Genomic DNA, 21,607 nt, shown 5'->3' on the forward strand with positions numbered 1-21,607 from the left:
AGTACTTCTGGGAAAAAAAATATTTCTCCTGGCAGACAAAAGCTTAGAGGCATGAAGTCAGTGTATGGTCCAGCCACAGTCAGAGCTGGCTGAAAAATGTAAGAGTCAGTAAGGAATGATGTTTTTTGTTATTATCAACATCTGTTGAGGGCCTAGTAGGTGTTATTCAGTGATAGAGAAAAACTTGATTTGGAATCATCACTGCAGTTAAATAAATTAAATGGAAAAGTGAAAAAAGCCTCATCATTATTGGAAAAAGGAGAGAAAATGTTCCATATTTAGCCATATCATATGTATTAGTTTTGAGATGGCAGAAGCCAGACGAAAAGATGGCTGGATGCATCATTAGAGTTTTTGGTTACCAAGGAACTAAGATTTGCTGCTGCCACTTAGAGTTATAGAATTTGTAGTAGGGCAATGATCTTTGAATAGTTTAGAGAGGTCCTGGAGGTCCCTGAGACACTTTTAGTGAGTCTGCAGAATCTTCCCTTTTCCAACTAAACATCTGTGGGAAGCCACATTTTTTTTCACATATTTAAATCAAAGCAACATATCACAACAGGTTCAGCAAAAGTAGATGTAAGAATCCAGATGTCTTTTATTAAGCAAAAATTACAGAGGTTTGCAAACATTCAAGACAATGGAACTCTTCTAAGTAATTGTTTTTGTTTTAGAAAATAGTTATTTGTTTAAATAAAACTATATTATTTATGTTAACATGTAATAGTTTTATTTTAATTAATTAGAGCTTTAAAAAATTCTCAGTTTGAATTTCTAATATTGTAAATATGAAGAAATATAATTCATATGAACAAAAAGCTTTTTGGATTTCTCATTTATGTATAAGAGTGCAAATGATATCACCTTACACCTGTAAGAATAATTTTTTCTTTCTTTCTTTTTTTTTTGAGACGGAGTCTTGCTCTGTCTCCCAGGCTGGAGTGCAGTGGTGCGACCTCGGCTCACTGCAATCTCCGCCTCCTAGGTTCAAGCAATTCTATGCCTCAGCCTCACAAGTAGCTGGAATTACAGGTGCCCGCCACCACGCCTTGCTAATTTTTTTATTTTTAGTAGAAACGGGGTTTTAGCATCTTGGCCAGGCTTGTCTTGAACTCCTAACCTCGCGATTCACCCGCCTTGGCCTCCCAAAGTGCTGGGATTACAGGCATGAGAAAAAAGTAAATAAATAAAAAAGAGAAGAGATAACAAATGCTGGCAAAGATATGAAGAAAAGAGAAACCTCGTACACCATTGGTGGGAATGTAAATTAGCACAGCTATTATGAAAACTAGTATGGGGGTTCTTCAAAGAACTAAAAATAGAGCTACTATGTGATCTAGCAATTCTACTTCTGAATATATATCCAAAGAAAATAAAATCAGTACATTGAAGAGATATCTGCTCTCCTATGTTCATAACAGCATTATTCACAGTAGCCAAGATAGAGAATCAACTTATATTCATCAACTGATGAATGCATAAAGAATCAGGATATTCCTCAATAGATGAATACATAAAGAAAACATGGTACATGTACATGATGGAATACTATCGAGTCTTAAGAAATTCTATCATTTTCAACAACATGGAACCTGGAGGACATTATGTTGAGTGAAATAAGCTGGTACCGAAAGGCAAATGCTGCATGATTTCACCTATACGTGGAATGGAAAAAAGTAAAAAAAAATGAACTCATGGAAGCATGGAGTAGAATGGTGGCTACCAGGCACTGGGATGAAAAGAAGACTGAAATGGGGAGATATTGGTTAAAAGGTACAAAATTTTCAGGTAGATAGAAGGAATACTCTTTGGAGATCCATTGTACATCATGGTGGATATAACTAATGATAATGTATAGCACACCTAAAAATTGCTAAGATAGTAGATTTTGAACATTTTCATGACAAAATGATAAGTATGTGAAGTGACAGATATGTTAATTGGCTTGATTTAATCAGTTCACAGTGTATACATACATCAGACAATTAAAAAACAAATAGTAAATCTGGGTAAAGAATATATCTCTTTTTACTATTCCTACAAATTTTCTGTGTCTAAAATTATTTCAAAATAAAATGAAAGAAAAAATAAAATGACATTTTTGAATAATTAAAAAAGAGAGTGTAAGGATTCTTGAGATTAAAATCTCAAGTTTAAAGGGTCTTGAGATTACAATTTAAAAAGTTTGAGCTCCTAAACTTATGTGATCTGCCCACCTTGGCCTCCTGTAATCCCAGCTACTAGGGAGGCTGAGGCACAAGAATCACTTGAACCTGGGAGGTGGAGGTTGCAATGAGCCGAGACTGAGCCACTGCACTCCAACCTGGGAGACAGAGCAAGATTGTGTCAAAAATCAAAACAAAAAAAAACCCCAGCAACGCTTGAGACCTGCTCCTGCAAGTATTTAACTCACAGAAAAGGAGATAGCACCAGGTAAAAATGAAGTAAAAGCTGTGTAAGCTGTGTGTTGGGCCTTGCAGAACAGGAAGCCTGAGAAAGGAGAGGTTATTTAGAATGCAGCCTCTCTTGGGGAAAACGTATATTCCAGCGATCCTCTCTACAATGGGACTTCATTCACCCTCCAAATCCTTTTTTGGAAGTTTGTGTCTTAGCTTTCCTCTGTTGTGACTTTTACTGCTCCTTCTGCTCTCGATACAGACACCATAAAATTTACCGTTCATCCAAGAACACTTTTGAGAGTAAAAAATGGAATTATTAATAATTACAGGACAATAGCCTTGCCTAGCTGCCATCTTTCTTATCCTGTCCAGTAAGTACCCCTAAGAGTAGAATTGTTGAGTCAAAGGACATGAAAACTGTTGTAGATCCTGTCCGCTCATGATTCTATCAGGAATAGGAACACCAATGATTACATTAGCCACGAGGTGATTAGGTTTCAGCAGTGCATTTCTGTATTTGATCTCCAACACATTTTGCTTTTTAAAGTTGAGTTCTGAAATTAGAGACAAGAGCAGATGGCAGTAGATTCACTCTAATTCAGGGAGTTATTAAGAAATTTTGAATTTTTTTACTATATAATTTGAAGCCTGCTTTAATGTCATCATCATAAACGGAAGGGTGGGTTGATGAGTTTACTCAGATTAGAGTGGTACAACCTTTGGGGCGGAGCCTCTGACTCTGATTGGTTGGACAATGTTTTCCAGGCAGTATAAAAACGCTGGTGTCTCTCCGCGGAAACTCCGAGAGGAGCAGAGGTCTGTAGAGGTAGAGACGTAGGCTTCGGATCTTTTAGAATTCTGCTGGAAGTCTCCAAGTCAAGGTAAGTTATACCTTCTGTTTAAGCTATTTCCAATGTCCTATTCTGTCTTTGGCTACAAACTGGTGTTTTCGAATGCCTTTAACTATTTATTTTAGAGGAGAAAGAACTAGTTTTTTCCTGTGCCAGGGAGCTTTCTTCACCTTTAACTATAACTTTGCCATTTAAATTTTTACATATGAACCTCAGGTCACTCTTTGCATGAACTTGTATTTTTATGTGTTTTCAACTACAATGGATTTAAATGGTTTTAAAATGGTTTCTTTTTATTTTCCAACATTTCTTAAAAGATTTCTGGGTTTTCGGCCGGGCGCCATGGTTCGCGCCTGCGCTTTGGGAGGCTGAGGTGGGTGGATCACGAGGTCAAGAGACCAGCCTGTCCAACATGGTGAAACCCCGTCTCTACTAAAAATACAAAACTTAGCCGGACGTGGTGGCACATGCTTGTAATCCCAGCTACTCAGGAGACCGAGGCAGGAGAATTGCTTGAACCCGGGAGGCAGAGGTTGCAGTGAGCCGAGATGGAGCCACTGCACCCCCAGCCTGGGCGACAGAGCAAGACTCCGTCTCAAAAAAAAAAAAAGACTTCACTTCGGGTTTTCACTTAAATATACTTGGCCACTTTTAGTAGTTGTGTCATAATTAGCTGAATCATTTTATTATTGTTAGATAATTCGATTGTTCCTGATCATTTGGGATGGTAGTTAACACTGAAATGAACAACTTGTGAATAAGTGTAGCATTTTTTTTCTTTTGTAAAATTGTTTTCTTAGATACATTCCAAGGTGGGTTAGGCAATTAGATTTCCAGCACCATGTTAAATTTCCCATTAAATTGAAAAAGATAACAGAATTTAAGAAAGAGGTAATCTCTGGTTGTCCGCCAGCCAGGCACCATGAGATTGGAATGCTGATCAGGACTTGGAAGACAAAGTTTTATGTGGGCAGATACCCTGTTTATTACACACGTTTGTGTTTCCAGAGTCCAGTTGAGGCCAAGAGCACAGAAGGGGCTCAATAAGTATTTGTTGGAAAGAGATTAGAGAATGTGTTCTGGGATGTAGGACAGTTCTAGTAACTCAGTCTTAGGCTGGCCTCATCGGTGTTCATCACTTCCTCTCTCTGGTAATGTTGATGCTGCTCCTCTTTCTGTCCCTCATTCTGTTACTACTGTCACCACTGAATGTGTGATTTGTGGGTTCTTGGTAAGGAGTTCTGCTAGTTACTGCTCAGTGCAGGCTCTTATTGGAGAACAGTCCTCTGTTCACATAATCTCAAAGGTGCTGTCCAGCTTTGCGAGGCTGTCTTTGGGTCATGGGTCTAGCCTGGTCCAATATGCTGTGCCCAGCATGTCAGAGACAGCTCACTCAAAGAATAATAGCCATGGTGGGAAGTCCTCTGGGAGCACCAGAGGCTCTCAAGCTTTGGGAGCAGTTGGGGTAACAGGAGGGCATCTTCCTTGTCTGGAACATCTTTTTGGTTTGTATTCAGGCATGATTATTTTGGAGAAGTTGATGACTATTATATTTTTATTCACATTAATTCAAGCCTTAATTAGTTTTCTTAGAGTGCTTTAAAGCATTTCATCTAATAACACTTTGTCCTTAAACTTGATTCTTTTATGGGCTTCTCATTTTGCAGTGGATTTTGCTGGCTTTACTCACATGTGGTAATTTTCCTGGAAATTCTGAGGATTCCTTAGAGTCACTTTTCTGTGATGATTAATGTAGAATTGGCTTTATTTTCATTATTGAATTTAGACATGAACATTCTTTTTCCTGAACTGCAGAGGATCTACAAAGAAATACTGAGTGGAGACTATACTGAGATTCTGTTAAAGACCCACTTGAATTCAGCCCCCATTAGGAGAAACTTTGGCCGGAGCAGCCAACACATCACCTGGAAGTCTTCAGACTAGGTAAGCTGCACTGTCTGAAAAGAAAGTTTCCACTGTCCTATTTCTGTCTTGTGATTATCTAGAGTTTGAAGAGTTTCGAAATCATTTTTATCACCATGACTACATTACTGTGATTCTCTAGCAATTTAGTGTCACTTTCATACACAAACTGCAGAAATATTATTTTTTTGTTATTCTTAATTTCTTAGTTAATAAATTTATTATTATTTATTAAATAATATAATTCATTTATGTATGCCAATAACTTATTTATTAATTTATATTATTTAATCTTGGATTTAGACTATTGAAGAGTGGATTGTGTACTGAGGGCTCCCAAGTGCTTCCAGAAGCCAATAAAGGATCACTTCAGTTTACTTCACGGCTAAGGAGTAACCCTTAAGAACCATGGCCAAACGCCTGCAAGCAGAGTTGTCCTGTCCAGTTTGCCTGGATTTTTTCTCCTGTTCCATTTCTCTCTCTTGTACACACGTGTTCTGCTTTGATTGCATCCAGAGGTATATACTAGAAAACCATGATTTTAGAGCGATGTGCCCCTTGTGTCGAGACGTGGTGAAGGTACCTGCTTTGGAAGAATGGCAAGTGAGCGTCCTAACACTTATGACCAAGCAGCACAATAGCCGACTTGAGCAAAGTCTGCACGTGAGGGAGGAGCTCCGGCATTTTCGGGAGGATGTGACCCTGGATGCAGCCACTGCCAGCTCCCTCCTTGTCTTCTCCAATGATCTAAGAAGCGCTCAGTGTAAGAAGATCCACCACGATCTGACAAAAGATCCCAGGCTGGCCTGTGTCCTGGGTACTCCCTGCTTCTCCTCCGGCCAACATTACTGGGAGGTTGAAGTGGGAGAGGTGAAGTCATGGTCCCTGGGCGTCTGCAAGGAGCCGGCTGACAGAAAGAGCAATGATTTATTCCCTGAGCATGGCTTCTGGATCAGCATGAAGGCAGGAGCAATCCATGCTAACACCCACCTGGAGAGAATTCCTGCAAGCCCTCGCCTTCGCCGTGTGGGAATTTTCCTGGATGCTGACTTAGAAGAAATCCAGTTTTTTGATGTTGACAATAATGTCCTCATCTATACACATGATGGTTTCTTCTCTTTGGAGCTTTTGTGTCCATTCTTCTGTCTTGAGCTCTTGGGAGAAGGGGAGAGTGGCAACGTCCTGACCATCTGCCCATGAGAAAGTCAGCCCTTCCTAGAAGCTTTCTGAGAGGTGAAAGAGAATTTTGGCCTGAGAAAGGTCAGCATGATTGAGGAAGAGATAATGTGCTATAGTGCAAAGACTTGGTAAATTTTTAAAGTAGATTTTGTAGACTTTGTAGCAAAACAATTTTCGGATTTTTGGGGTAAATTTTGTGGAATTTGTAGCTAGGTAACTGGGGTCTTTAGGGATGTTATTAAGTACTGTAAGCTTCAGTTTTCTAGTCTGTAGATGCGGATAATTGTATCTCAGTCAAACAGCTGTGGTAATTAGAGACAATACTATGCCTTTGTCTTATAGTAAATAACAAATAGAGAAATCTTAGATTGTAAGTAAGCTAGATATTAGGTTTTGTGGATAGACAATATCTTTTTCATTATTTCAAGCTGTTTTGTGTAATTCCTGATAATGTCTGAGGAGGAAGAAAAATTCAACAGCCAGTGTGAGTTATTTTGTTGATACAGCATGAAATTTCAGAGAGACAAACTGATATTGGGGAAGAACTAAGTTTTTCATTTTTATTTTCTTTGAAACACAGCCACATAAGTTTTCTTGAAAGACAAAGAACTTTGACCAAAATGCATTGTTAATGGTGATTCATATTCTTATGGGAAGTGTCATTTACCCATCTCAATAATTGGACTATTGTGATTTATAAGAATTCTTATCAACCATGTTAACTAACACATATTCATCAAAAATTGTTTTCAAGGTTGCTTTTGGATTTTTTATTTGTAGAATTTATTTTCTTGCAAATAAATTTATAAAGCATTGGATGTGTTCATGTTTATGCTGTTTGGTCCGTCTCTCACATACAGTCTGAAGTTGGTACCCCTCTTCCTCCACCACAGCTACATGGTCCCAGACTGTGATTTCCAATATGTCATCCTTATACACTCATGATGGCTCCTTTTCAAAATATTCAGGTCTCTTAGGGTTGTATTTTTTCTGATTTACTGAGTCAGCCACTTCTGAGATTACAACTGCCCCAAAAGGGCTGGGGTCTGAGCATGTTCTGGAATCTGCCTTTGACTTCCTTTCTAGAGAGACCCAGAATTGTCATTTCCCTTCTCTTTCCAACTTCACTGGGAGTAGGGAGATAGCCATTTTCCTCTCTTTATTCTCTTTTGATCTCTACAACTTTATTTCAGGGGACTCATTGCCCTTCCCTAACACTGGGCAAAATTTCAGGATACAAAATAAATGTACAAAAATCACTAGCATTCTTATATGCCAACAGGAGTCAAGCTGACAGCCAAATCAGGAATGAACTCCCATTCACAATTGCCACAAAAAGAATAAAATACCTAGGAATGTAGCTAACTAAGGGAGGTGAAAGATCTCTACAAGAACTATAAACCACTGTTCAAAGAAATCAGAGATGACACAAACAAATGGAGAAACATTCCATGGTCATTAAAAGGAAGAATCGATATTGTTAAAATGGCCATACTGTCCAAAGCAATTTATAGATTCAATGCTATTCCTATTAAACTACCATTGAGACTCCTCACAGGACTAGACAAAACTATTTTGAAATTCATATGGAACCAAAAAAGAACCTGAATAGCCAAGGCTATTTTTTAGCCAAAGCTAAGCAAAAGGAACAAAGCTGGAGACATCACAAGGCTACAGTAGTATAGTTTGTATCAATACCAAAACAGCATGGTATTGGTACAAAAACAGACATATAGACCAATGGAACAGATTAGAAAACCCAGAAACAAGACCACATACCCACAACTATTTGATCTTTGACAAACCTGACAAAAGCAAGCAATGGAGAAAGGATTCCTTTTTCAATAAATAGTGCTGGGATAACCGGCTAGCCATATGCAGAAGATTGAAACCAGACCCATTCCTTACACCACATACAAAAATCAACTCAAGATAGATGAAAGATTTAAATGTAAAACCCCAAACCATAAAAACCCTGGAAGACAACCTAGGCAACACCATTCAGGACATAGGCATGGGCAAAGAGTTCATGACAAAGATGGCAATTGCAGCAAAAGCAAAAATGGACAAATGGGATCAAATTAAACTAAAGAACTTCTGCACAGCAAAAGAAACTATCAACAGATTGAACAGGCAACCTAAAGAATGACAGCAAAATTTTGCAAACTATGCATGTGACAAAGGTCTAATATCCAGCATCTATAAGGAACTTAAGTGTACAAGAAAAAAACCAAACAACCTCATTAAAAAGTGGCAAAGGACACTAACAGAAGTTTTTCTAAAGAACACATGTGGCCAACAAGCATATGAAAATAAGCTCAACATCAATGATTATTAGAGAAATGCAAATCAAAACCGCAATGACATACCATCTCACACCAGTCAGAATGGCTATAACTAAAACATCAAAAAGTAACAGATGCTGGTGAGGTTGTGAAGAAAAAGGAATACTTATATACTATTTATGGGGGTGTAAATTAGTTCAACCATTGTGGAAGCCAATGTGGTGATTCCCCAAAGACATAAAGACAGAAATACAGTACACTAAAAAAAAAAAAAAAAAAAAAAGAAAAAAAAAAGAAACTGGCTGCTTATTGTAATGACCCAAATGTTTATTCTCCTTAATATTGGGATTTAGAACTTTCTGTAAGACAGAGGCTGTTGTGCAGGCCTTGCTCTTTTCATAGGAAGCAACCAGGAAAAAATGGCGAAATCTTCTACCCCTTAAGAGGTTACTGTCTTTGGACAGCCTGCAAATATTGGCTAAGAATTTGGTGGAATGCTGTTGCTTCTCATAGGTGGCAGATTCAGTTGTGCCTCTAAAATGTATGTATAGATGCTGCATGCATCTATCTCAGCTCTTAGCATGGCAGCTTCTAGGAACCTCCCTTAAGGGACAGCTGGTTCTCTCTCCTTGCCTACTTTTAGTTCTCTTCCTGCACCCCTGCTGCCTGGAGTGCAGACAATTGGGCCACAGGGATGAGGGGCCTGAGAGAACAGTGAACTGGAATAGGCCTGCACTCTTGAAGGCTACAGGGATCCCTGAGGGCTACAGAGTCACTCTGACAGCTCTGGGACACTTACCTCTGTCTTCATTAATGTGATAAAGAAACCCCATGAGGCTAGTTTACCTGCATAACAAACCTGTGCATGTAACCCTGAACTTAAAATAAAAGTTAAAAAAAGTATTCTATATCTCAGCAAAAATAAATGAGAAATATTTGAGGTGATGAATGTGTTAATTAGCCTGATTTGATCATTCCACAACGTATACATGTATCAGAACATCATGCAGTACCCACAAATATATACAATTATTTGTCAATTAAAAACAAAACTTAAGAAGAGAATAAACACTTTCTGTTTTAAGCCACTGTTATTTTTTGTGTTCTGCCTGCCCTTGAACTTATTCCTAACTCCTGTTCTATTGTACCAAGAGTTCTGAAGACCTGCTGGGCAGCCTCAAAAACGCTTTCTATTTTGCTTTGCCCTTCTCAGCTCTGGCCATTAGAACTTTGGTGAGTGTCTTCCAAGTGTCTCACAGTTTGCCCTTGGCTTCCTTCTCCTACCTTTCTATGACCAGCTTCAATAAATTAAAAAGTAGAAGTAAAACTTGCCTCAGTTGTATTTTTTAATGGAAAATTTTAAACATACAAAAATAGAGAATAGTATAATGAATCCACATGTACCTATCACTCAGTTTCAATAATAGCAACAATGGCCAACCTCCTGCCCCCAGATTATTTAAGATCAAATCTTATACATCATATCATTTCATTCATAAATTCTTATGAATATCTCTAAATGAAATGTACTTAGGAAAATGTAATTATGATGCCATTATCATAGATAAAAATGAATAATTCCTTAGTATAATCAATGAATAATTCCTTAATATAATCAAATATCCAATCAACATTCACAGTCCTTTCTGATTCAGCTGTGAGTGTTTCCATTTAAGCAGTTCCAGCTTTTCTGAACTGGTCTAATGAGTGTTTGCTTGCATTTGACTCTTTGTGTTTTCTGTATTTAAGATTTCCAACCTCAAAATAGGCAGTCACTTTCTATTTTCCAGTCCTCTTTTCGATACTTAAGAAAAACCAACTAGGGCTCTCCTCACCTCCTCCTCATCCCCAAGTCATTATACCACCCTAATGCCTGCCTGGGGCTCCTGGGCATCCCTGCCACAGTCACCCAGGTATAGTTTGCTTTAAGGACACCAATGATCTTAAACTTCAACTTTCAAATTTGCGTCCAGGTGAAAATGTGAAAAATTCACATTCATAGATAGCACGTATGTGTCACATTCTGAGACACGTTACTTAGGCAACATCTAAGTTCTATGGACTCCTCATTTGGCTCTGGGGTAGCATTGTCTGAAGATTGTTTCTATTTTCTTTATAAGTTTCCTCAGTAATGAGGGAGTAATTTCTGGGATTAGTGGCCAGATCCACTCTTTACTGAACCTGTGGGCTCTTAGTGTGGGCAGATTATCTAGCGGTAAATGTTCTCCCTCAACAAGTGAAGACATTCCTTTTAAAGAAATTGCATTAGAGAGCATAGGTTTGTGGGTGATCTTCCAAATCAATAGCAAGGTGAAAATGAATCTATATTTCTTCCTAGGAGAATGATTTAAGTATCAAAGACTAAGAGAGGCCTTTGGAAAAATGGAAACGTTCATGCCAAAAGCATCCTGTTTATGGTTTTGCCACTAAAGTTAGCCACAAATTAGGATTGGAGATTTTATCCAATTATGTTAGAAAAATTACTTGATTCAGTCTTTGCTCAGTTGAAGGAGTTGTGCTCAGTTGCAATGATCATCTAACCTATGTTATAGCTAAAGTAGAATTAATCTAATTTTAATAGTCTTTAATTGTTTAAGATGACATTTCAAACAAAATTTTTATTATTTTTCTATAAAAAAGTTCTTCCTCTTTAAACTTTATTTTCCATAAATATTTATAATCATTCATTTGCTATGTGCATATTTTGGGATTTTTTTTCTTTTTTTTCTTCACCCAGGCCGGAGTGCAGTGGCGCTATCTCGGCTCACTGCAAGCTTCGCCTCCCGGGTGCACGCCATTCTGCCTCAGCCTCCCGAGTAGCTGGGATTACAGGCGCCTGCCACCGCGCGCGGATACTTTTTTGTATTTTTAGTAGAGACGGGGTTTCACTGTGTTAGCCAGGATGGTCTCGATCTCCTGACCTTGTGATCTGCCCGCCTCTGCCTCCTAAAGTATTTTGGGATTTTTTGTGCTTCAGACTTTTCTTTTTTTAGAAACTGATGTTTATTTTCCATTAACCTTATTTCCATGTTGCTTAAGAGCCCGTGCAAGGGCAGCTTAAGACCATTCAGCGGTTGCTTCTACCCATTCAGTGATTGCTTTTACCCATTCGGTGGCCTGAGACTAGAAGCTGCAGACCAGTCTTCTGTGGCAGGCTGAGCATTTCACTCTTCAGCAGGGAACTGCTGAATAGTCACAGAGGGCACCTGCATGCCTTCAGACCAGTCTGCAACCTCAGGCTGAGTAGCAGTGAACTCAGGAGCTGAAGCAGTCCATTCACCCTGAAATTCTTTCTTGGTCACAGCTTTTTTAGCAGCAGCCTGCTCTTCTTTTTCAATCTCTTCAGGATCTCTGTAGAAGTAGAGATCAGGCATGACCTCCCACGGGTGTTCGCAGGAAATGGTGCCACGCATGCGCAGAACTTCCCGAGCCGGTGTCCACCACATCAAACCCACCGAGTGAGCTCCCTTGTTGTTGCATGCGATGGCAATGTCCACATAGCACAAGGAGAATCTGTGTTACAGAGCAATGGTAGGTAGGTTAACATAAGATGCCTCCGTGAGAGGCTGGTGGTCAGCCCTGGGGTCAGTAACCACAAGAAGCCGTGGCTCCCAGAAAGCTGCCTGGATCTGGTTAGTGAAGGTTCCAGGAGTGAAGCGGCCAGCAATTGGAGTGGCTCCAGTGGCAGCAGCAAACTTCAGCACAGCCCTCTGGCCAATATTCCTGGAGGATATAACACTGACATCTGCAGGGTTTTCAATGGCAGCAATGGCATGAGCTGCCAGCAGAAGCTTCTCCCAGGTCCTCTTCAGATTTATGATGTAGATGCCATCACTTGTCCTTTTACAGATGTACTGTTCCATCTGGAAGTCAAGATTGGTGCCACCTAAGTGGGTTCCTGCTGCAAGGACATCCTCCTCCTTCATTTGCAGGACATCAAGGGCTCTGGACGTTGTGAAAGTTTCCCTTTAAGTTACAACAGGAATTCAGAACAATGCTGTATGGACCCCTCTGTGGGTAGCGTGGAAAGGCTTCAGACTTTTTTAACCAGCTAATAAACGCATGGGGTCCAATATTTAAAATGCCACATAGTGAAACTGTTTCCTGACACTCCCCATTTATTCATTCTCCCTGAAAACGACTCCTGTTACCAATTGCTTGAGGATTCTTCCAAAGGTATTCTATATGTGTATATATATGTATGTATTTCGCCTATATATAAATTTAGTACTACCTATACATTAGTTTGCACCTTTTTTTCACTTGAGAATATTTAAGGAGATTGACTTCAAACAGTCTTTTTTCAGGACTCAGATAAAACTTTTTGTATTACATTTATCAACTTAGTCAATTTTGTGCTAACAATTCTCAATCAGATTTATAAGATAAATTTTCCCTTAAGCTTTCCAGGAAGTCATTAACACCTGTCACTCCAAAATGCATGACATCATAGCTGCCATCAAAGGACTTCTAGAAGATCTAATTCCTACAAAATATCAGTAAAATCAGATTGACCTCAAACCCTGTATCTTTCAAAAAAGACATAATTTTGTTTTTCAAGCATTGTTATTAGGTATAGTAAAAATGATTTTTTTTCTTTGTTTTTTTGTTTTGAGACAGAGTCTTTCTCACTCTGTTGCCCAGGCTGGAGTGCAGTGGCGTGATCTTGGCTCACTGCAACCTCCACCTCCCAGGTTCAAGCAATTCTCTTGCCTCAGCCTCCCCAGTAGCTGGGATTACAGGTTTGTGCCACCACACCCAGTTAATCTTCATATTTTTGTAGAGAAACGGTTTTGCTATGTTGGCCAGGCTGGTCTCAAACTCCTGACCTCAAGTGATCTGCCCACGTAGGCCTCCCAAAGTGCTGGGATTACAGGTGTGAGCCACCATGCCCAGTCTATAGGTTATATCTCCTTAATGTTACAAATTGATGAAGATTAAGTAAATAAACCTCAGCAATGACTAATACATATTTTTAAACATCTACTTTTGCTTCTCATAATCACTGAGCATCCATTTGAGCTTTATTCTTCTTTTCTTCCTTTTTTTGATAATGCTGGCAGACTTGATGAACCAATAGCATCTGACCTTCACAAACTAGGCAGAGTTTCAAAATAAGGTGACTCGTTACATTTGTTTGGATTACTTTTTGAATCCCCACATTTTCTCACGTTGGCACAATTTTGCTTCAAGTGCATCATGGAATAGATGAGACAACAGGAAGCGATAGGCTTTCCCTATTCAGTGAGTCAGGCAGTAACCAAGAGATTAATGTGAATGAATTCAGGGCTTGTGAAGGCATCATTTCTCATCAAATGGAACTGTACCCTGCTGGACGGAAGTCTGAATATGTGTGATCTAATGCAGAGGTTCCAACTGATGTGACCCACAATGTTGTCACCACCACCTCCCTCCTTGTCCTCGCTAATGACCTAAGGTGTGTCCACCATGGAAAAATCTTTCTGTTACCAGAAACGGATCCCCATCCAGACTCTAAGAGAGGGTTCTTGGACCTTGTGCAAGAAAGAATTCAGGGCAAGTCCATAGAGCAAAGTGAAAGCAAATTTATTAAGAAAGTAGAGGAATAAAGAATGGGGGCTGGGCGCGGTGGCTCATGCCTGTAATCCCAGCACTTGGGAGGACGAGGCAAGCGGATCACGAGGTCAGGAGATCGAGACCATCCTGGCTAACACAGTGAAACCCTGTCTCTACCAAAAATACAAAAAAGTTAGCCGGGCGTGGTGGCGGGCACCTGTAGTCCCAGCTACTCGGGAGGCTGAGGCAGGAGAATGGCATGAACCCGGGAGGTGGAGGTCGCAGTGAGCTGAGATCATGCCACTGCACTCTAGCCTCTAGCCTGGGTGACAGAGCGAGACTCCGTCTCAAAAAAAAAAAAAAAAAAAAAAAAGAATGGCTATTCCATAGCTAGAGCAGCCTTGAGAACTGCTGGTTGGCCACTTTTATGGTATTTTCTTGATTATGTGCTAAACAAGAGGTGGATTATTCATGAGTTTTCCAGGAAAGGGGTGAGCTATTCCCAGAACTGAGGGTTCCCCCCATTTTAGACCATATAGGATGATTCCCTACATTGCCATGGCATTTGTAAACTGTCATGGTGCTGGTGGAAGTGTCTTTTAGCATGCTAATATATTATAATTAACATCTAATGAGCATTGAGCACAACCAACAGTGACTTTCATCTCCATTTTCATTTTGGTGAGATTTAGCCAGCTTCTTTACAGCAAACCGCTTTGTCAGCAAGGTCTTTGGGACCTGTATTTTTGGCTGACCTCCTATTTTATCCTGTGACTAAAAATGCCCAGCCTCCTTGGAAGGCAACCCCATAGGTCTTAGCCTCATTTTACCTAGCCCCTATGCAAGATAGAGTTGCTCTGGTTCCAAAGCCTCTGAAATTTCATGTCTAATTGATGATCCCAAGATATTCAACCGTGTGTTCTGTGTCCTGGATGCTCCCCCTTCACCTTTGGCTGCCAATGCTGAGAGGCAGAAATAGGAGAGAATAGGCTCTGGGGGTCTGCTGGGCATTCATTCACGGAAACTGGAAGGATGGCTGGTCCTCTAAGGACACCAATTCTGGTCCACAGGCCAGACCTGCTAGCCCTTACCTCCTGTGATGGTTACTTTCAGGTGTTAACTGACTGGATAGCTGGTTAAGCACCATTTCCGGGTGTGTCTGTGAAAGTATGTTTGTGTGCGAATCCGGGGACTGACGGGGGAAGATCGGCTCTCATTGTGGGTGGGCATCATCCAATCAGCAGGGTGCCTAGATAGGACAAAAAGGCAGAGGAAAGGTGAATTTGTTTTTCCAAAAAGGATATTCTGGAACTGGGATGTCTCTTTTCTCCTGTCCTTGGACATCAGAACTCCAGGGTCTTAGGCCTTTGAACTTGGGAACTTGCGCCAGCAGACCCCTGGGCTCTCAGGCCTTCAGCCTCAGACTGAGAGTCACATCATGAACTTTCCTGGTTGTGAGGCCTTCAGCCTTGGACAGCTATGCTGCTGGCTCCCCTGGTTCTCCAGCTTGCAGAAAGCCTATCATGGGACTTCTCAGGCTCCGTAATTGCATAAGCCAATCAATTCCCTTAATAAATCCTCTCTCTCGTATACCTATCTATACCTCTCTACATATTAATATATCCTATTTGTTCTGTCTCTGGAGAACTCTTAACTAATATACTTCCATTACGTGGGAATTTCCCAGATGCTGAATTGAGGAAAATGACATTTTTTTTAACGTTACTGTTGGTTACCTCCCTATATAGTCAGTTCTTTTGCATCTGTTTGTTTGGATCAGCAGAAGGCAACAGTGAGACCCCACCCAATATCTTCTCTTCTCTCTAGAAAGTACTCTGAACATATAATGCTGTGAACATGGCAGGTCTTATCATGTTTTCAAGATGATGAGATATGTATTGCATATTAAATATTCATACCTGGATATTAAATACTCAGGTTTTTAAAAAATCTTATAACCATTCTAACTGACCATGATCCCAGATGGAACCCCTGCCCGCGTCATTGCTTTTGTCTCTGCCACCTGGCTGCCCCTCTAGACAGCTTCCTTTCCTTCCTGGGCTGCTCCCAGGCAACTCAAAAAACTCAACTTCCTCCCCCAAAACTCAAATTCTTACTTTTTACGTAGAGCAAATGAAGTCTGTCTCAGCTTTCTTGTGAAGGAAAAGCTGCTTCAGTCAGTTGTGTTTTTAAATAACACCCCTTCCCACTTTGTGTAACAGAATGTTTTAGAAGCTTATGCTTAAAAATTTTTTTTCAGCCACAAATTGAGGCAGACTCCTTTGATCAAGGTATTTTGTATTGGCTGAAAGTGTGCTTCTGTGGAGGGCTGGTGCAGGGAGCTGTAATTGAGAGAGTGGGAGGAGTAGCCAGGAAGGAAACTGTTGATGAGCATGACTGTATGGGGGGGTCAGCCCAGCTGGAAAAAGGCCAGGACTTATGGAGAAAGGGCATGTGAGGCAGAGAGACGAGGGGGGAGTTTATTGGCTTCTACTGAGTTACTGAATGTTCTTTCTTCTTAGATCTATAAGAAAAATTAAGTAATAAATCCTAAAAAGGCAAATGACAAAATTTACATTCTTTATTTTTCAAAAAGAACTTAGAAAACAAGGACAAGAAGGATATTTTTAAAATGTAATATAGACCATATTAAACCAATATTATGGTTGACAGTATTTAAGAGAAAAAGACAAATGACTAAAATTGATATTAAAACATTTATTGAGCATTTACTGTGTGTGAGGCATTGGATTTGTTGCCTAACATGAATTAGTTCATTTAAACCTCATAAAAGTCATACAAGGTATATATTCTAATACCCCTATTTAAATAATTAGGAAACTGAGGCAAAAGGAGTTTAAATAAGTTGCCTAATTATTAAGTCTCCTCACTTCCTAAGTAGTCTATAGCCTAGGAAAGATAAAAATAGACTGTGGATCTCAACAGTTCACTCAGAGAGCATAGTCTTCATCGTGGGGCAGATGTGGGGCACTGCTGTGCTTAGCCATTTTCTCCTCCCCAGTCCTTGGTCAGCATCTCTAATTGACAATGACACTCCATCTTTCTTTCTTTCTTTTTTTAACCTCTGAATTTTTATTGGCGTCCTGCTCCCTAAAGGGTCCCCTGCTTCTGCTGGCTTAATGTCTCAGAACTTTGGTGTGGTTGGTCTCAGACACAACTTTGCCATCCACTATCCAGCGGCTGTTGGTCTTTTGGATGGTTTGCATGGAGGTGCTGCTGTCCAGGGCATTAAGAAGATTGAAGTTCTTGCCATCTTCCAGCAGGTTGTTGTAGGTGGCTATCTCAGCCTCCAGCTTGACCTTAATGTTCAGCAGGGCCTCATACTCCTGGGCCTGGTGCTGTCCCTCTGCCCGGGTCTGTGCCAGCTCTGACTCCAGGTGCAGCAGGATCCCATTGAGCTGTTCCATCTGCAGGGCATAGCGGGCCTCCACCTCCCTCAGGCTGTTCTCCAAGCTGGCCTTCAGATTTCTCATGGAGTCCAGGTCGATCTCCAAAGACTGGACTGTACGTCTCAGCTTTGTGAGTGTCATCTCTGCAGCTCCAACCTCGGTGGACTGCGTGGTGACCACTGTGCTGCTCTCCTCAATCTGCTGAGACCAGTACTTGTCCAGCTCCTCTCTGTTCTTCCGAGACAGCTCGTTATATTGGGCCTGGATGTCTGCCATGATCTTGGAATGGTCCTGAGATTTGGGGGCATCTACCTCCACAGTCAACCCAGAGCTGGCAATCTGGACTTGTAGGCCTTTTAATTCCTCTTAGTGGTTCTTCTTCATGAGCAGCAGCTCCTCCTTTAGAGCCTCGATCTCTGTCTCCAGCTGCAGCCAAGTGACATTGGTGTCATCAGTGACTTTGCGGAGCCCATGGATATCGCTCTCCACAGACTGGCACATGGTCAGCTCTGTCTCATACTTGACTCTGAAGTCATCAGCAGCAAGACAGGCATTGTCTGTCTGCAGAACGATGCGGGCATTGTCCACAGTATTTGCGAGGTTCTGAGCCCTTAGGTCCTGGATAGTCTTGAAGTAATGGCTCCAGTGTCTGATCTGGGGTCCCTTCTTCTCCAGGTGCTTCCGGATTTTGCTCTCCAGCTTCCAGTTCTCGGTCTCCAGGCTCCTCATTCTGTCCAGGTAGGAGGCCAGGCGGTTGTTTAGGCTTTGCATGGTCTCCTTGTTCTGGATGCTTCCCATTCCTGCCAGACCCCCGGCCATCCCGGCAGCCAGGGCCCCAGACCCCAAGCCGCCCCGGAAGCTGGTGGAGCAGGACACGGAGTTCCCGGAACCAGAACCCCCGGCGCCTGCATAGACGCTGGCTGTGCTGCTGACTGGCCGGGCGTGTAGCTGGGCACCTGGACAGAGCCCAGGGAACGGTAGTAGGTGGAAAAGGTGGAGCGAGTGGTGAAGCTCATGCTGTCCGGGGAAGAGAACGAGGGGACAGGACTCAGGCTTTGCCGACGACCGACATTCCCTTTTTCTAAGTCCAGATACAGAGCTCCAAGAACCCACTAGCATGTAATCAAATGGAGCACACAGGGAGCAAGTTATTTGCGGCTGGATACTAAAGCATCAGGGTGAAGGAAAGGCTGCTTGCTGCTATCATTGCTATTTAACATTGCTCTCTAAATAGAGGCTAAATAAATTATAAGCAGCACTGCCGGCTCCTGTTTGTATGGGCTCTAGACTGCTGACTGGGTCCCAACTCTGCATTCAGTGACGTCATGTTGCAGCTTCACATTGGTCGTGTTAGAGGTAATTATACTGGCAAACAGGCAAATGTTACAGTTAAAACCTTTTTTCTTTTTCTTGCTTCTCTTTTCTCTTAATTTTTGAGAATCAGTTGTTAGACATTTACTAGCATGACACTGATTTATAAGCTAGTAATAAAGCTAACTATTGAAAAGGGGAGATCAAATGATCATCACTTAGAGAACATATGAGTTCATACACTAAAAACCTTAGAGGGGAAACAGTTCTCTCAGAGGTAACAACATTTCTGTACAATATTGTTACAGACTGCTGATTCATTCCTTCTAGACAGACAACATTCCTTCAGCATTGGATGAGTTTGCAGGTTGCAAATCTTGGTGCAGACAGCATCTGTGATTTCCATCATGTGGAGAAGGCTCATATCAAGGGAGAAAAAGAAGTCAGCATTTTGTGAGAGGCTGTGGTGGTGGGAGACTAACTGTGACATTTCACATCCCAGGTTCTAAAAGGTCTGGGGCCCAACAGCGTCCTGGCTTCCTTTGTTCTTTGGCTCTGCCCTGAAACACTGTAGTGTCCCTTCCTCTAAACTCCACTTTTTGTTTAAGCCAGTCCAATAAGAGGTTTCTTTCATTCCAGTCAAAATCAGCTTAATTAACAAAGTCATCTATTTATTCTTACTGAATCTATAAAGGAAAAGCCTCTAACTTCCTCCCTTGCCCCGATACTCTCCTTGCAGAAACATTAATGCTTTGCACAAGGATCAATAGGACTCTTCTTGTAACAACCTCAATACAAACTAGGTATTTTCTTAAGTTTTCTGGAATGATGTATTTAAATGTTATATAAATTGACATTGATTTGTGGTGATAAATGTAATTAATGAAGTTGGGGGACAACACTCTGATGTTAAACTAAGGGATCTGATTTTAAAAATACTGATCTCTAAAAAGACAGATATCTCATTAAAAACAGGCAAAAGATTTGAATAGACGTTTCTCAAAAGAAGACATACAAGGCCAGGAATGGTGGTTTATGCCTGTAATTCCAGCACTTTGGGAAGCTGAGGCAGAAGGACTGCTTAAGCCCAGGAGTTCAAGACCAGCCTGGGCAACATAGAGAGACTGTGTCTCTACCAAAAATTAAACAAAAAAATTAGCTGGGCGTGGTGGTGAACACCTGTAGTCCCAGATACTCGGGAGGCTGAGGCAGGAAGATTGCTTGAGCCTTGGAAGTCGAGGCTGCAGTGGGCCATGATGGTACTACTGTAATCCAGCCTGAGCAACAGAGCGAGACCCTGTCTCAAAATAAAATAAATAAATAAATAAAAAATAAAAAAAGACATACAAACGGCCAAGAGGTATATGAAAAAATACTCAGCGTCACTAATCATCAGGGAAATGCAAATTAAACTACAATGAGATATTGTCTCACCCCAGTTAGAATGCCTATGATTAAAAAGACAAAAAATAACATGCAAGCAATATGCAGAGAAACGAGAACCCTTATACTCTTATACACTGTTGGTACAAATGTAAATTAGTACAACCATTATGAAAAACAGTATGAAGATTTCTCAAAAATCTAAACATAGAACTACCATAAGATCCAGCAACGTCATTACTAAGTATCTATCCAAAGAAAGGGAAATCAGTATATCAAAGGGATAGCTGCACTTGCATGACTACTGTAGACCTATTCAAAATAGTAAAAATACAAAATTAACCTAAACGTCCATCGATGAATGAATGGATAAAGAAAATATGAAAATGTGGTATACGTACACAATGAAATATTGTTAGACCATAAAAAGAATGAAATCATGTGATTTGTAGCAACATGGATGCAAATGAAGGTTGTTATGTTAACGAAAATAAGCCAGACATAGAAAGACAAAGACTGCACGTTCTTACTCATATGAGGGAGCTAAAAAACTTGATCTTATGGACACAGAGAATAGAGTAATAGATATGAGAGACTGGGAAGGGTAGGTGGAGGGGAGGGGGAAATGAAGAGAGGTTGGTTATGGTGTAAATATACATTTAGATAGAATAAGTTCTAATGTTTGATAGCAGACGAGGGTGACTATACTTGGCGGCAATATTAAATATATTTCAACATAATTAGAAGAGAGTACTTGAAATGATGCCAATACATGCAATTGATAAACGCTCAAGTGATGGATACCCCGAATACCCTGGCTTGATCATTACACATTTTAAGCATGTAACAGACATATGTGCCCCATAAATCTGTGAAATATTATGTATTAATAAAAGAAGAAATGACTGATCTCTGTAGTGATGATAAATAACTGACTACTAGTCATGTCTTCATCATCAGCACTGTGCTGAAAATTTTGAGATTCCTTCTTTCTAGACCTGATTTTCTTATTGGCAATCAAACCCTCCCCTCCTCGTGGAGCCTCCCCCCATTCCCCACTCAAGGTGTACATTGGTGACATTCAAAGAATTTCCACCTCAGTCTGCTTCTTGATACTGTATCTAAATATATCTGCAGGTGTGAACAAAGCCTTCTGGTTAAAGTTCATAGGCCCAGAAAACATGTTACCATCTCTTGGAATGATGAGAAAGAAGTACCAAAGAGACCGAACTTGTAACAATTTTGAGAATGGGCAGCTGGAAAACTGTATGTTTTATATGGATTTCTGAAATTTAGAAAAAGCATCTGGGCTCTTTTTAGCAAATAATAGA

General features: G+C 40.7%; 1 protein-coding gene and 2 pseudogenes across 1 annotated transcript, besides 1 other annotated feature; 1 reads left to right on the top strand and 2 right to left on the bottom strand.

The window, feature by feature from the left end:
- The first annotated feature begins 3,202 nt into the window (after positions 1-3,202).
- On the top strand, positions 3,203-7,167 carry RFPL4B (ret finger protein like 4B). The gene is made up of 3 exons (NM_001013734.3): positions 3,203-3,280; positions 5,066-5,194; positions 5,477-7,167. Exon 3 carries the CDS (start codon positions 5,582-5,584, stop codon positions 6,371-6,373), a length of 792 nt encoding a protein of 263 aa, NP_001013756.2. The 5' UTR covers positions 3,203-3,280; positions 5,066-5,194; positions 5,477-5,581; the 3' UTR covers positions 6,374-7,167.
- On the bottom strand, positions 11,625-12,666 carry RPSAP45 (ribosomal protein SA pseudogene 45; annotated as a pseudogene).
- KRT18P65 (keratin 18 pseudogene 65) lies at positions 17,256-18,648 on the bottom strand (annotated as a pseudogene).
- Positions 18,422-18,921: an enhancer, noted in NCBI's record as "H3K4me1 hESC enhancer chr6:112683751-112684250 (GRCh37/hg19 assembly coordinates)". NCBI's record gives its function as "activates a minimal SCP1, AML or CMV promoter by ChIP-STARR-seq in naive H9 embryonic stem cells {active_cell/tissue: H9 hESC(naive)}" and the evidence as "EXISTENCE:reporter gene assay evidence [ECO:0000049][PMID:30033119]".

Source organism: Homo sapiens, chromosome 6 (genome assembly GCF_000001405.40).
Source record: "Homo sapiens chromosome 6, GRCh38.p14 Primary Assembly".
NCBI lineage: Eukaryota > Metazoa > Chordata > Mammalia > Primates > Hominidae > Homo > Homo sapiens.

Coding starts and splice junctions, on each gene's coding strand:
- RFPL4B (NM_001013734.3), top strand. CDS start 5,582: ATGGCCAAACGCCTGCAAGCAGAGTTGTCCTGTCCAGTTTGCCTGGAT.